This window comes from Homo sapiens, chromosome 12 (assembly GCF_000001405.40).
Source record: "Homo sapiens chromosome 12, GRCh38.p14 Primary Assembly".
Classification (NCBI taxonomy): Eukaryota; Metazoa; Chordata; class Mammalia; order Primates; family Hominidae; genus Homo; species Homo sapiens.
The window spans coordinates 6,032,835-6,047,137 of NC_000012.12; the positions used below are offsets into that span (position 1 = coordinate 6,032,835).

Here is a 14,303-nt window from a genome sequence, read left to right on the forward strand (position 1 = left end):
CACACATACACAGATGCACACACATACACCCATGTACTCATACACACACACACGCATACACATACATACACACACGTAGCCATACACACACACGCGCTCACGCATACACACACATACACCCATGTACTCATACACAGTCACACACACGCACATGCATACACCCACACACACGCACATGCATACACCCACACAGACATGCTCATGCATACACACATGCACACATACATGCATACATATGTCCATACAACACACACAATCTGACCTCTAAGATTCCATTCAACTTAATGGAATTGTCAGGTTAAATGGCTTTGTGTTAGGTCGATGCATGGCGAAGGTTAAAAGAGGAAACAAGGGTGTAGGTGTTTTATTTGTCCTTATCTTCAGCTGAGATTTCTGAAAGAGGGAGTTAGGTCTTGATGATACTCCCCAAAGGAGGATGGCAGAAAGGGGAGGGGCCCCAGGACAATGCATCAGAAGACAACAGAACCAGCTGTAGGAAAGGAAAACAAGCCACACACAAGGGGCACCGTTTGGAGGGGGAGTCTTTAAAACTGGTCCACTTGGGAAAGCTGGCCTGGGCAGGGAAGGGCTGGGAGCAGCAGATGCTGACCAGCTGTCTGGTCCTTGCTGCACTGAATTAATTTTTTCCTGGATGTTCAGATTTGAAATGGGCTGGGCAGTTGTTCTGCAAAGCTGGTGTCGCCCTCTCTTTTGCTGCTGAGGCTGGGAAACTTCCATATAGAATCTCTGGGAAAGCTCTAAAGGGGCGCATATCCCCCCGGATCATAGGTTCCCTGCCTGGTCTGCATGCCCTGTGTCCCCAGCACACTGCCTGCCTCTCTGGGCCAGCCCGGGTGTGAGGTGGGGACTGAGGAGGCTGCTGTTGGCTCCGCCCCATGCCCAGCATGCTCTACACGAGTGGTCGGTCCACAGTCACCCACGCTGCCTGACTCACCAGCTCCTGCAACTCAGCCTCTGGGGCTGGGGCTCCTATGGGTTTGTGGTCTTCCATTCAGACCACACCAAGCTCCCGCCCCTCCTCCTCCTGGGAATGGAGACAGAGGGACCATATTTGTTCAAAGCTTCACAGAGTACAGTGCCTCAGCTCTGGTGAGAAAAGCACTCATACTTCCTTGCTTACACAGTTGATGTCAACCAGAAAGAGAAACTTACAAGAATCCACGCAGTGGGGAGTGGGAGGCAGAGGGGCTGCTGCCCACACTCACCGTGAGGATTCCTGGATCGCTCTCATCTGCTGGGCAGGATGACTTTCCTGTGTCCCATCCTCCCACTCCTCCCATTCTGAATTGTACCAAGTTAGACATTAAAATGGCGGAGAATTCCACAAAGCCATATCGTGGGAAGCAAACTCCAGGGGTCATTTCAACCATCCCCCTGTCCAGGGCCACTGCACAACACCTGCAGACTGTGCACTGCCCAGGGTGCTGGAAGGGAGGCTGAGCGGGACTGACTTCCCAGCCCAACCCACTCCCTAAGCTATGCACCCTGACTGAGGCTGTGTCTACCAGAAGGAACAGATGACTTTTTCTAATTCCACATCTGTGCTAATGTGGACTAGCAGTAGCCTTTCTCCCACACCAATCCTCAACAACAAACAAGCTTCTGTCTCGTTTTATAAGTCCCCAGGTGAGCAGAGGGAAAATGGACAACCACTTTGAGCTTCAAATCCCCTACCGCTTCAGGCACTTCTGTGAAGGACTGGGAAGTACTCCAGTAGAAACCAGACCCCAGAGTTGTTTCTGCAGACAGATCCACAGAACCCAACCTGAGGCCACACCTCCCACCCCTCCTAGAAAGAAACAGCACCCTCTCCCCATCTCCCCACCTCTCACCTGCACCAGAACGTACTGGCACTCCCCGGGGAACAGGTATTTGAGCCCGTCGAAGGTGAGGTAGTGGGCCATGCCGATCGTGGAGCACGTGGCATCACACACATGGTCTGTGCAGTTCCACTTCCGGTCCTGACAGACACTAGGAGCAGTCATGGCAGAGATGACAAGTTGGGCACCTTGGGTTTGAGGGGCCCATCTGGGCCATGGAGGCAATGAAGGAACACAGAATACTCTGGGTGCCTCCCAACCCTCCAGGAAGCCCAAGGAAGTTGAGGACCTGTAGCGTGGAGTGTGGACTTCATAGGCCCAGTATGGTGCCCAGCAGGAGACAGGGAAGCCTAGTGGCTGTCCCTAAAAGGGGGAAACTGAGGCAAAGAAGGGAAGGGGTTGTCCAAAGTGAGCCAGGCAGCCAGGGAGGAGGCCCGGATGCTCTTTAGGCCTCCTGTTATGAATTCGCTCAGCCTCACCCTGAAAGCCACATCTACCTGAGATTGGCCACAGGGTGTCTGTAAAACAGACACACTGATGTTGAAAGCCTGAGGCTAATGGGAAAAACAAGACAGAACAGTGGGAAAGCCCAGAGTATAGAAAAGAGTGATGAAGTACGCACTTCTGCCAGGAGCAGTCCTGTGTGCATAGCTACACGTTAAGATGTATGTAGCTACATGTTAAAATCTATAGTGATCTGCCCACTGCCACGTGTCCCTCCCTGCCACCACCCGTAACCAGAGCTGACATCAAGAAGCCCACTTGTGCGTCAGAGGTGGTAAGCTCAGACCTCAAGCCCAAGAGACAGCCCTCTCTACCTCTGTCCAGTAGGCCTCTTTCCAAGGCTGTGCACAGCCACCAAGTCAAAGGCAGGGTGAATGAGCAGGGTGAGGGGTTACGTGCAGGATGGCCAAGGAAAAGGGAGAAGGCAACCAGCCACCCTCACCTCAAACCACGCCACTGCAAGCACACTCACGAAGTGCTCATGGGCAGTGTAAGGCCTGCAACGAAAGGACCCTCCAGACCCCGTGCCCACTGGCAGCTTGGCCCAAATGCAATGACTGGTGGGGCGAGGTCCCTGTCTTCCCTGGGGCCCATCTCCCTGAACAGAAATACAAGCTGAGCATTCCTAATCCAAAACTCTGAAGTCCAAAATGTTCTGAAACCCAAAACTTTGAGCACCAACATGACACCACATGGGTGGCTGAGAGGGTGACACCTTTACTTTCTGATGGTTCAATGTACACAAAACTTTGTTTCATGCACAAACATTAAAAATACTAAATACACATTAAATACATATTTAAAATGTTGTATAAACTTACCCTCAGGCAACGTGTATAAGGTATATATGAACCATAAATAAATGTCATGTTTAGATTTAGGTCCCATCCCTAAGACACCTCATTATGTATATGCAAATATTTCAAAGTCCAAAATAATCCAAAATCCAAAACAGTTGTGGTCCCAAGCATTTCGGATAAGGGCTACTGTACTAACCTGTTGAATAGTGTCTATGCAGGATGGACACAGGTGATGAAAAAGATTCTCCCCATTTTACAGATGGAGAAACACAGGCACGGAGGAAAGGCAGAGAGTAACCAGGTTCCCACAGGGGGCTGGAGGCAAGTGCGGAAGGTCCTGTGGCCGCGTGCACCCTCACTCCACCCGCAGGGCCTGGGTCCCCGGCGCAGCCCCTCACTGAGCCTCACCAAGTGTTGCAGCCAATCTTCACTGTTTCTCCAGGGGCATACTCCTTGCCCTGATGGAAGCAGGGACACCTTTCCAGGGCCACACATCTGTTCTCATGCCGGACCTAAGAGAAAAGAATCCAAAAGTCCTCAGGGCCACAGTGACTGATCTAAAGCCCTCCTCCAGCCCGCTCCAGGAAGTGTTGTCTGAGACTTGAGCCTACGGGTAAGCCCAGCACTGGGACTGGCACCAGGACCAGGGCTGAGCCAGGGGGACAGCTTCCACTGCAGGCCAAGCCAGGACAGGGATCCTATGCCCAGGCCAGGGCTTGGCAAACATGGGTTCCCATCTACATGGCTCCTCCCTGTCAACTAAAGACACTGACTGCCCTCTGCCCTCTCGTGCCCTGCTGGGGCACTGTAACCTGGACATTTTTGCAAAGGTACTTCAAAAAATCATGTCCAGAGGCCTTGAAATGCACATATTCTTACACCTAGCCATCCCAAGGAAAGGATTTCTCTGAGGGAAATAGAATTATGGACAAAGATTGATGGAGAATTATTTATCATTGCAAAAAAAAATTGGAAACACTTAATAGGAAAATGACTAAATCCATTGAGGAATCACCAGGCGCCAGTATCCTATGGTGCTATTACAATGGTCCTTTGGAAGAATCTTAAATGAAGTGAGAAATACTTATGCTGTTAATTTTTAACACAGGAAGAAAAACTGTATATACATATGGTTCCAAATGTATATATATTTCACAAAAGACTAGAAGGAAATACAGAATCTGCCTCCAGGTGGTGAGCTGGGATAGGCGAGTGGGAGGATTTTATTTTCTTTTTCAGTTTTAAAATTTTTTTCCAAGTGTTCTTCAATGAGCATGTATTATGTTTATAATTAAAGAAAATGAACACTATATTGAATAAAATTAATATGTACTTAACACTCTGGAGGTGAGGGCCAAATATTGGGCATAAGTAGAAATCGATCAGAACTAGAGTCTGGGGGCTGGTCCAAGCCACAGGCCCCCTCCTGCCCAGTCTCCCGTATCCCGGTTCACTCTCCATGGGGTATGCTCTACTTCCCCGTCGTCACCCCTCGGGAAACTACTTTCGTGAGCATGTTGTATTCCTCCGGTCTGTTGGGGCTGAGAAAATAAAAGAACTAAGAACTACCAGCCCCAGAAGAGTCAGCCAAACCCACTCTGAGCTCAACATGCAGACACGCTTCTGTCCCGACTCCAAGGGGCAGCCCTGGGTGCCTGTCCTGGTGTGGCCTAGCCTTGGGGGTTCTCAAAGAGGCCTGGGTCACCCCCAGGTGAAGGACTGTGGCACCTTGGCTCCAGAGCTCCCTGCAGGGCGAGAAGCTCCTGGTCTGAACAGTTCCAGCTCCACGTGACCCAGTCACTCCCCAGACAAGTCTGAGCTCCCAGGCCTGGAGCTGGACAAATCCCTGGGAACAGGGCAATCTTGGGCTGAACAAAGGGCTTTCAAGGACCCAGGCTAGAATCGTATGTGAGCATGTGTGTGTTGGGGCGGTTGGGGGGAGGGAAATAGGAAGAATCCTCCACTGCTTAATGTCATCTTCACCCAACCTCAGGAGGTGTTCCCGCATCTCTGGAAGCCCAGCTGATGGGTCAGGATGACAGTGCAGGGCATAAGATGCAGGTTGACCCCACTCTTGGTAGCTCTTACCTCCCGGAACCACTGTTCTTGGGAGGGAATGAGCTTAAGCACCCAGTAGGGAAGATGGCACCTTGGTAGGAGCTGGCAGGGCTGAAAAACCTCTCTCTAGCAGAGCATTCAAAGCCTCTGTCACAATTAGGGTTCATGTCCACATCGCCCCGTCCAGTGTCAGCTCTGACTTAAGCCTGAGGCCCACCACCTAGTGGCTGCTATAAGAATGACTGAGGTATCCCACGGATGCCTTACAGTCAACGGAAACCAGATAATACGCCTCCTTGTGGCAAATACCATGTGGGACAGAAGTGCAGGGACGGACTCCAGGAAACAGAGCCAGGCTCCCCTTACCTCAGCAGCACATGTTGCCCCTCACCCTTGGGCAGGCCGGGCTGGGGGCTCCCAGGCCTCTTGGTCTGCATGCTGCATGTTTTTACCTCTCGCCATGATATTCAACCCATGGGACAACCCACCATGCCTCCTGTCACCCAGGTGTGGGTCTATGGAAGCCCAGCCCTCCTCCAGCGGACAGAACACTCCAGTCCCAGCTCAGGTGTGAGATAACAATGCCATGACTGCAGCCGCCACCTCCTCCTCCTTCTGAGCACCCACTGCAAACCACGTGGCTGCTCTCTGCCGACTCGTGTTAGCAAGAGGAGGTTATTAATTCATGGACAGCAATATTATAATAGGACCTTGATATTAAGTGAGGACTGCTATGAAGGCCACAGTGGTGTGGAGTTAGGTCATAAGAGAGCTGGAGAGGAGACAAAACATAATCTTCAATGAGAGGAAAGGGTTTCCAGGACACAGCATGAGACTTCCTGACTTGGGAGAGAAGAGCAGGTAACAATAGCCCAGCTAAAAACACCCAGAGAATCCCAAAGTGGCAAAGACATTCAGGGAGGTGGAAATTCATGGAGGTAGATAGGCCTGGAAATAAAGGGGTAATTTAGGGGATGGATTGGACCCAGAGGGGAGCTGTGCAGAGAGGCGGGGCAGGCCAGCACAACAGTCCCTGGCCAAATTTTGTGGCAAGTCACTTAAACCTCACAGTTAAAATGAAGAGAACCACCTCCGTCTAGTGTTTGTCCCTTCGGGACATCAAAAGGCTACTAAGATAAAGTCTATGAATGTCCCCTGAAGACTTCAGAAGAAAGCCTGGCAAAAATACTCGTCCCATCACTCACCAACTCATGACATCTTCAGTCCGAAAGGGGTCAGGCTGAGAACGTGGTCCTACGTGTTGGTCCACTCCAAGAAAATTATAAAGTAGGAAAATACTGGTCTTGTTACCTTTCTCTGAAAAGGCCCCATTGTCCCCAACTCTCCATACATGAACACCATCGTGACCCACTCTCCAGAATCTTTTTTACCTTCCAACTGCCTCTCGTTCATTCTCCTACCCCATCAGTACTTTCAGGCCAAAGCAGCTGAACTCAGCCAGAAGCTTGCGAGGAGGAGAGTGATCTGATTAAAGCACTCCTGCTGAGCGTGATGACTCCTCCTATGAAGACTTATGAGGTTCCGCTTTTTTTAAACCTCTCGCTTGTTAACCAAAATGAATTTTTGCTTATTATATTTCAGTAAGCCCGACTGAGTGACAAATCATGGACCATGTAGGAGATATTTCTGAAACAGGCCCTTCTTTGGATCTTTTAAAATGTGCAACGCCCACATGTGAGGCCGCCTCTGGATGGGCCCTTGAACCCAAGCTCTGAACTTTAAGAAGTGGTGCCCAACTCCTTCAGTCTTCACATGGGGCCAGTGAGGAAACTGGACATCCTGGGATCAGGGACATAACCACACTTCTCGCCACCAAGAGGCTCCTAATACCAGCAGTTTGGGAGATGTAGCTGCTAGGTTTCAAACGGGAAGTCAGCATCTCCCAGACAGAGGCCTAAGTGTTTCAGATTACAGGAGCCCTGGTCTCAGAGTCAGGAGACCAGAATTTCCACTATACAACTATGAAGGCTTGACCCGGCTCTGTTCCCTTTCTGTCCTCAGTCTCCTCCCGTGTGATAGAAGGGGCTGACATAATGGGACCTCAGGGTTTCTTCTTCTCTGCCCTCTACGATGCTCCCAGAGTTACCCTTGCCGCCGGACTCAGGAAGGGTGAGCAGGGCAGTGAGTTGTGCTTTGCTGTCACCTAGTGGTGGTAGCAGGTAATATTCTAACTTAAAGAGATGGATGCTTCAGGCAAGCATGGCTCCAAGAATTTCTGAACTAGAGAAAAATACCTGGGAGATCTTCCAGCACAACCCCCTCATTTTATCGATCCGGCAGGTCTCAGAAAGTGAACACTGGGATCTAAAAAGATGCTCCTGTGTGTGCTAATTCCCTGCAGCATCTCTGTTCATGGCAGGATTCACCGTTTCCCACCACGAACTTACTGTAATAGTTAGTGGTCATTAAACCACCACTCACTAAGCACCTCCCATGTGCTCGCTGCTCTCATCTCCAGTCTTCCCAACAGCCTGCAAGCCAGTTTTACAGATAAGAAAATTAAGACGCCAAGATGTTAAGTGACTTGCCACTCACTTAAGTAGATGTTAGGAGGCAGGATTCAAACCTGGAAGTGTGAGGTTCCGATACCATGCCGTTTCCAGGCGGTTTCTCTGCCCTTCATTTATCACGGTGCGGACCACTTAGCAAAGGGACCCCCATCCTCCTCATTCCCATGCCAGGAGACCTTTGCACGATGGCAGGAGCAGATACAGCCTGCAGCTTGTGGGGTCAACCAGAAAACCTCTGCTCTAAGCAGGTGCCAGGCCTGGGACAAACCAGAAAGAGAGGGGTTCTTTCTCTGCCCCCGCCAATATTTTCAAACAGGTGCTTCTGGGCATACGGTGGACACTGAGAGGCACCTTAGAGGAGGAGAGACAATCTTCGGCTGAGAACAGGGCTGCTCAAAGTGCATTCCCTGGGCCAGGGCCAGCCTGTGAGGACGCAAGCACAGAAACTAAGAGAAAGTGTTTAGAAAATCTTAGGGAAATTTGGCAGAGTCATGTTATGTCTGTTATATGTCATAAAAAGTGGGAAGTAAGAGTTTAGATTTAGGGATCATGAAAAAAAGGAAAGAAAACATTTTTTAAGGCCGGGCATGGTGGCTCACACCTGTAATCCCAGCACTTTGGGAGACAGAGGTAGGCAGACCACCTAAGGTCAGGAGTTCGAGACCAGCCTGGCCAACACGGCAAAACCCCATCTCTACTAAAAATACAAAAATCAGCTGGGTGTGGTCGTGTGCGCCTGTAATCCCAGCTACTCAGAAGGCTGAGGCAGGAGAATCACTAGAACCTGGGAGGTGGGGGTTGCAGTGAGCCGAGACCATGCCACTGCACTGCAGCCTGGGTGACAGAGCAAAACTCCGTCTCAAAAAAATTTTTAAAAAAAAAAGAAATTTTTTTTTTTGAGACGGAGTCTCGCTCTGTCGCTCAGGCTGGAGTGCAGTGGTGCAATCTCAGCTCACTGCAACCTCCGCCTCCTGGGTTCACGGCATTCTCCTGCCTCAGCCTCCCAAGTAGCTGGGACTACAGGCGCCCGCCACCACGCCCAGCTAATTTTTTGTATTTTTAGTAGAGACAGCGTTTCACCGTGTTACCGGGATGGTCTCGATCTCCTGACCTCGTAATCCGCCCGCCTCAGCCTCCCAAAGTGCTGGGATTACAGGCGTGAGCCACTGCGCCCAGCTGAAAATATTTTTTAGTTGGGTGGGATCATATTATTTTTGTCATTGCTTTTGTTTTATTTTTATGAGAATTCATTTTTATTGTATTTACAAAAGCATGGGTCCACAGCAGGCTGGAAATCTAAGAAAAAGCATCCTTTACAGGTCTCTCCTATGGACAGCAGGAAGAACTGATGGGTGCAGCCTCTGAGACAGCCTTGGATAGTTACAGAAACAACAATGAAAGCTATTCCTACACTTCTGTAGAACTCTCTGGCTTTAAAGTGCTTTCACACACATCTCCTTGGGGCCCACAGCCATGCATCATGGAGGCAGAACAGGAATTCGGTGTCTACGTAACACATGAGGTGACTGGGCTTCCGGTAAAGACTGAAGGATTGCACAAGAGCATGGAGTGGGAAAGCAGGGAAGCCTGGCCTGACGGGTCTGCCCTCTGCACCCCATTCCTGCTCTTTCTGCCCCCCGCAGATCTGCCCCCGGGAAAAAGCCACTTCCCTTTCCCCTGTCAAGTCCTCAGAAGAATGCAGAATCCGTGACCCCTTCCCCAAGCCCTTAGTGACATCCCACAACCCTGCCCCTTCACAAGGGACAGACTGGACAGAGGAACACCCCGAGGGATGATGTCTGCACCATCAGATGGGCCCAAACAGGGTGTTTCCAGGCCCAGCTCCATTTTCTTTGTGTTATGGCCAAGAACACGTGTCCCGTGCTGCAGGCGGCACGCTGCGCACCCTTAATAAATTACACGGACTTCTCTGCTCTCTCGAATCTGGCCGCAATAATTTGCACACTCGCCGGCATCGTAAGGAAGCAGTTGTGAAAATAACCGAATCTCTTACAATATGAACCTGCAAGTTAGAATCCCCTGTGGCTGAAGTGCGAGTCACCTCGTCACGTGACAGGTATCCAAGTGCTGTCCTCAGAATGCATGCCCAGTGCTTCAGGAATGAAATGAGCGCCTAACAGGATAGCCACAGCCTGTATTTGAGGTCCCGCTGTCCTCTTTTTTGGATTTGGGGTCATAATATAATTATTGTGGTTACTAATATTTAAGGCTATCTGTATTTTTTCCTTCATGACAAAAAAGTTTGTTTCAAAGCATATCCGATGCTGACATAGTCCTCTGAGTGATGTTCCTTTTCCTGCTGAGTATGATGAAGAGACAATGATCTATGCTTTCCCCACACCAAAGCTCTGAGACACTCTACCTAAGAGGCCCCAGGGATAAAGAAGAGCAATAAGGAAGATTCCCCTGCCCTCTCCTATTTTTTGTTCCTACCCAGGTCTGAGATTCCCCACCTTAGAGACCCTTCGTGATATCCACCTTCTGCTAAGGCACCAAACAACCCTTCCAGTTCAAAGGTGCTCATTGGCCAATCGCTAGCTCTCCTCATCAGAAAAGACAGTTCCAAAACCCTCAGAGGCTAAGACAGAGGAGGAGAGAATTAACAAGAGTTGGTCTCTCTGTTTGGGAGAAGAAAGAGTTGAAGGGGAAGTAGAAAAGTAAGCATCTGTCCTTCACACACTGCAATCCCAGCCTTCCTGAGAGACACTGGTAATTGAGTCCACATTCCCTCTACAGAATATTGACAGGTCCCACAGTCCAGGACACTTCCCCTCAAGCAGAGTCCTGGGCAACACTAAGTCCCCTCCAAAGCCATCTGAGAGCCACCCTCTCCCATTCTGGCCTCCACAGCCTCTGCCCCAACTCCTCACCATTCACTTTGGGTATAAGGAATTGGAGTTGGGGAAAACAAGAAGACAGGATGCATTTTGAAAGAGAAACATCTGGAAGTTGCATCCTTCAGGATGTATGCGTAATCTATTTAATACAACGCTGGCTAAGATTAGACTTGGGAGGGAGATAAGGAGGAGTAGGCATGCTCAGATCATTGCCACCAGCAGCAGAACATCCACATAGGAGCCAGGAGTCGCAAACCAGCACGGCCTTGGATGCACGGCCTCCATGCCTGTTTCAGGCACAGCACCGGAGTCATGGAATGTTAAGGGCTGGCCAAGACCTCACGACTCACATTACAGATGAGGAAAACAAGTTTCATTGTGGGGAAGAGACTTGTTGGGCCCATGGCTTGCTAGTGACACGGCAGGGCCATCAATGTCTTTTTTTGAAATAGAAAATTATATGCATATACGTCAATCATATGCAAATATATATGTGTCCCTCCATTTTCATAGCATGGAAGGCGGCCCCTGGGAAAATTCTAGTGGGAATGCTTGTTTTTACTAGTACGTATTTTCTGGAAATTCTTTGCTTCCTATGGCACTCCTGTAAGCTAAGTTCTTATATTTTTGTCAGATCCTGTGAGGATCAACCCCAGGCATTTTCCTAACAACTCCCTCCCTGACTTTGGCAGGGAGGAGACAGAAGAGCCTCCCCTCCTCCATGCCCCCATTACCAGCACCACCTCCATTGCTATCCGTGTTTAGCCCTTGTTTCTTCCTCTCTCTGGCTGCACAGCCCCCTCACTCATCCCTGCCTACAAGAAAACTGAAGGGCAGGCACCAGCTCTGTGCCTGGTGACTCACCATGCCCGGGGGGCAGAGGCAGCCAGAGACACAGCCCATGCTCATGCACTCCAGGTCATAGTTCTGGCACGTTTTGGTACACTCGAGCCCTTCAGCCCGCAGGTTGTCAGCGGGACACACCAGCTTGACCATGGGGGGCCGACAGGATAGGCTCCTTTTGCCTCGAAGGTAGGAAAAGCAAAGAGATGATTAGTGAAGGAGAGAATGGACCTACCTTCCACACTGTCCTTTGGTCCCCTAGAGTCTGTGACTAAATTCAAGAGACTCAGAGTTGCCCACTCACGGGGACCAGCAGCTGCCTGAGCCAGGGTCCCTGTGTGGGACTGGGAGGGCATCTTCTCACCTGGGCTTCTGACCTCTGGCTTACATTGGTGGCAGCTCTTCTGACCCCAGCTCTCATCTAATGTCCCATACTTGTCATCACCCTTAACCTTGCTATAGCAGGTTACATTGAATCAGGATGCATTGCAGAAATTTCCAGACCCAGGCTTGAAAAGACCTGAGTTTGGGTGCTAAAAAGGAGTTTTAATGGACCCAACAGAATCATTCCTAAATGGTTACAACTAATGTGGGGAGAGAAGGCCATCTGACCACAATGGCTTTAAAAGAGATCTCTGCTCGCGTCAGCCCCTGCCCAGCCACTCCATGCGAATTTGCAACACCCGCAACACTCCATCCCTGGACACTCCAATCTCCCCTCCCTGCTGCTTCCCCTCTGATATCCTATATATGTTCTTCTCACCATCTGATATACTACACATCTCACTTACTTGTTTACTGTCCTCCCCAAGCCACTGGGCCCACTAGAACGCATGTTCCATGAAGCCAGGGATTTCTATCTACTTTGCGCATTGACATATCCTACTTCGTGGCAATTAGTAGGTATCAATGGCTAATTGGGTAATACTGACAGCAGATGACTGATACAGCACCTTTCTTTCCAAAGCCCAGGTGCACTTAATAGCATTTGTATCACATACTCGCTCCTCTGGGCAAAACAGTCAAAATTTCTAGCCTTATTTTTATATGGAAACTCTTGTTAGAAAACTGAAACTCCAAAAGGCTAAACGGCTTTTCCCAATCTGCACAGAATCCCAGGAGTTTCCTGACTTTGAAAAATATTACATTTTCCAGTGACCAGACTAGAAGATTCTGAGCAGAAGCACGGAAGGTAGGTCTGAGAGGCAGAATGCAACAGAGAGTGGGTGTGGGGAAAACTCTCTGAGAGGGACAGAAGAAGACACAGAAGGATGGAGTGATCTTGAGGTCACAAGTTCTGGTCTCAACCTTTGAGCCACCCATGCCCTCGGGATCTTGCCCCAGCTCTAGGCTGAGAGACGCTCTCCAGTCGGTCACGCCAGGAGCCAGACCTGTCACGCAGGGCAAGCCAGGAAGCAAACACCATGGCACAGAACTGGGTCCCTTGGACAGAAGGAGCCTTGTGGAAAGTGAGAGGCAGAGAGGGAAGCAGTCAAGCTGGAGATTGAAGATAGCCATTTATCTCTCTCCCACTGGAAGAGTCCTTTCTAAGCAAGGATAAGCCTTCTGGAAGCAAATAAGGGTGCTGCAATCCATAAATGTAAATGTGAAACCCCCAGTACCAGGTCAGCCCCTTCTCCCTTCCATGCCTGGTCCTTAAACAGTACAACAGGCCAGGCGTGGTGGCTCATGCCTGTAATCCCAGCACTTTGGGAGGCCGAGGCAGGCAGATCACTTGAGGTCAGGAGTTCAAGACCAGCCTGGCCAACATGGCAAAACCCCGTCTCTACTAAAAATACAAAAAATTAGCCAGGTGTGGTGGCGCATGCCTGTAATTCCAGCTACTTGGGAGGCTGAGGCACGAGAATTGCTTGAACCCAGGAGGCAGAGGTTGCAGTGAGCTGAGATTGCACCACTGCACTCCAACCTGGGTGACAGAGTGAGACTCTCAAAAAAAAAAGACAGTGCAGCCACCGTTAGGACCTTCGAATGGAGAGCAACGGACCCAACCCTTCTCTTTCTCTCTTTCAAACCCATCCAAGAAGCTTTCTCAAGGAAGAGCTGTCTTCATCAGCATGTCCATAGGAAACAAGAGGCCATCAAAGAAGGGTGACTGTCATCACAATCAAGGCCACCAACTCACAGCTATCCACTGGGTTAAGGTCTCCACGGGCAAAATAGGGGTCTCATAGAATTTATCTGCAGGTCTTTCCCCTTACACGAAATCAAATACTCCTTGCCTCAATGGTCGGGATTGACACATGCAAAGACATGCCTTGGCCTGAAAGTCACTCACACAAACCCAGAAATGAAGGCGATCCTGGGCGAAGCCAGACCCATGCCTGGGTGCACACGCACATCTGACGGTGTCACCCAGCTCTCTCCCGCCATTCCACACGTGAGGAATCTGGGCAGGATGGAGTCAATGGGCCTTCCAGGGGGACAGTACTCACTGCGATGAGACAGGGGACTGCTGAGGACAGCGTCAGGCAGCAAGCTTCCGGGGACTCCACTCATGGTACAGTGCATGAAGCCATCCTCACAGTAGCTGCAGAGAAGAAAATCATAGCCGAGCTTCACGAGACTCGTCTATACTCGCTGCCTCCACATCTTCACCTCCCACTCACTCTCTGCCCCTTCCAACCAGGTCCCAGTCCCATAACCCCTCCTGAAGCACAGCTTGCTAACGTTACCAATGGATGATCCCCACGTCACTAAATCCCATGGGACTTTTTTCAGTTATTTGCTTAATTGATCCCATTCAACATTATTCATCACTGTTGAACACTCCACTCTTCTAGAAAAAAAATATTTCTCTCTCCAGGTTTTCCTCCCACTTCCTTGGTTCCTCCTTCTCAGCCTCAGCTT

The 14,303-nt window shown here is 50.1% G+C and overlaps 1 protein-coding gene and 1 non-coding gene across 3 annotated transcripts in view; both read right to left on the bottom strand.

Annotated features, from left to right (window-relative positions):
* Positions 1-14,303, bottom strand: part of VWF (von Willebrand factor) — a 175,794-nt gene that overhangs the window by 83,958 nt on the left and 77,533 nt on the right. For both annotated transcript variants that reach the window (NM_000552.5, XM_047429501.1), the window contains exons 17-20: positions 13,889-13,983; positions 11,457-11,617; positions 3,554-3,657; positions 1,854-1,992 (exon numbers count right to left, since the gene is read on the bottom strand). In NM_000552.5, coding sequence (NP_000543.3) covers positions 1,854-1,992; positions 3,554-3,657; positions 11,457-11,617; positions 13,889-13,983 — 499 coding nt within the window. The remainder of the gene's footprint in view (positions 1-1,853; positions 1,993-3,553; positions 3,658-11,456; positions 11,618-13,888; positions 13,984-14,303) is intronic.
* SNORA120 (small nucleolar RNA, H/ACA box 120) lies at positions 7,203-7,349 on the bottom strand. Its single transcript, NR_145989.1, has one exon. It is a non-coding gene; the product is annotated as a small nucleolar RNA, H/ACA box 120 (small nucleolar RNA).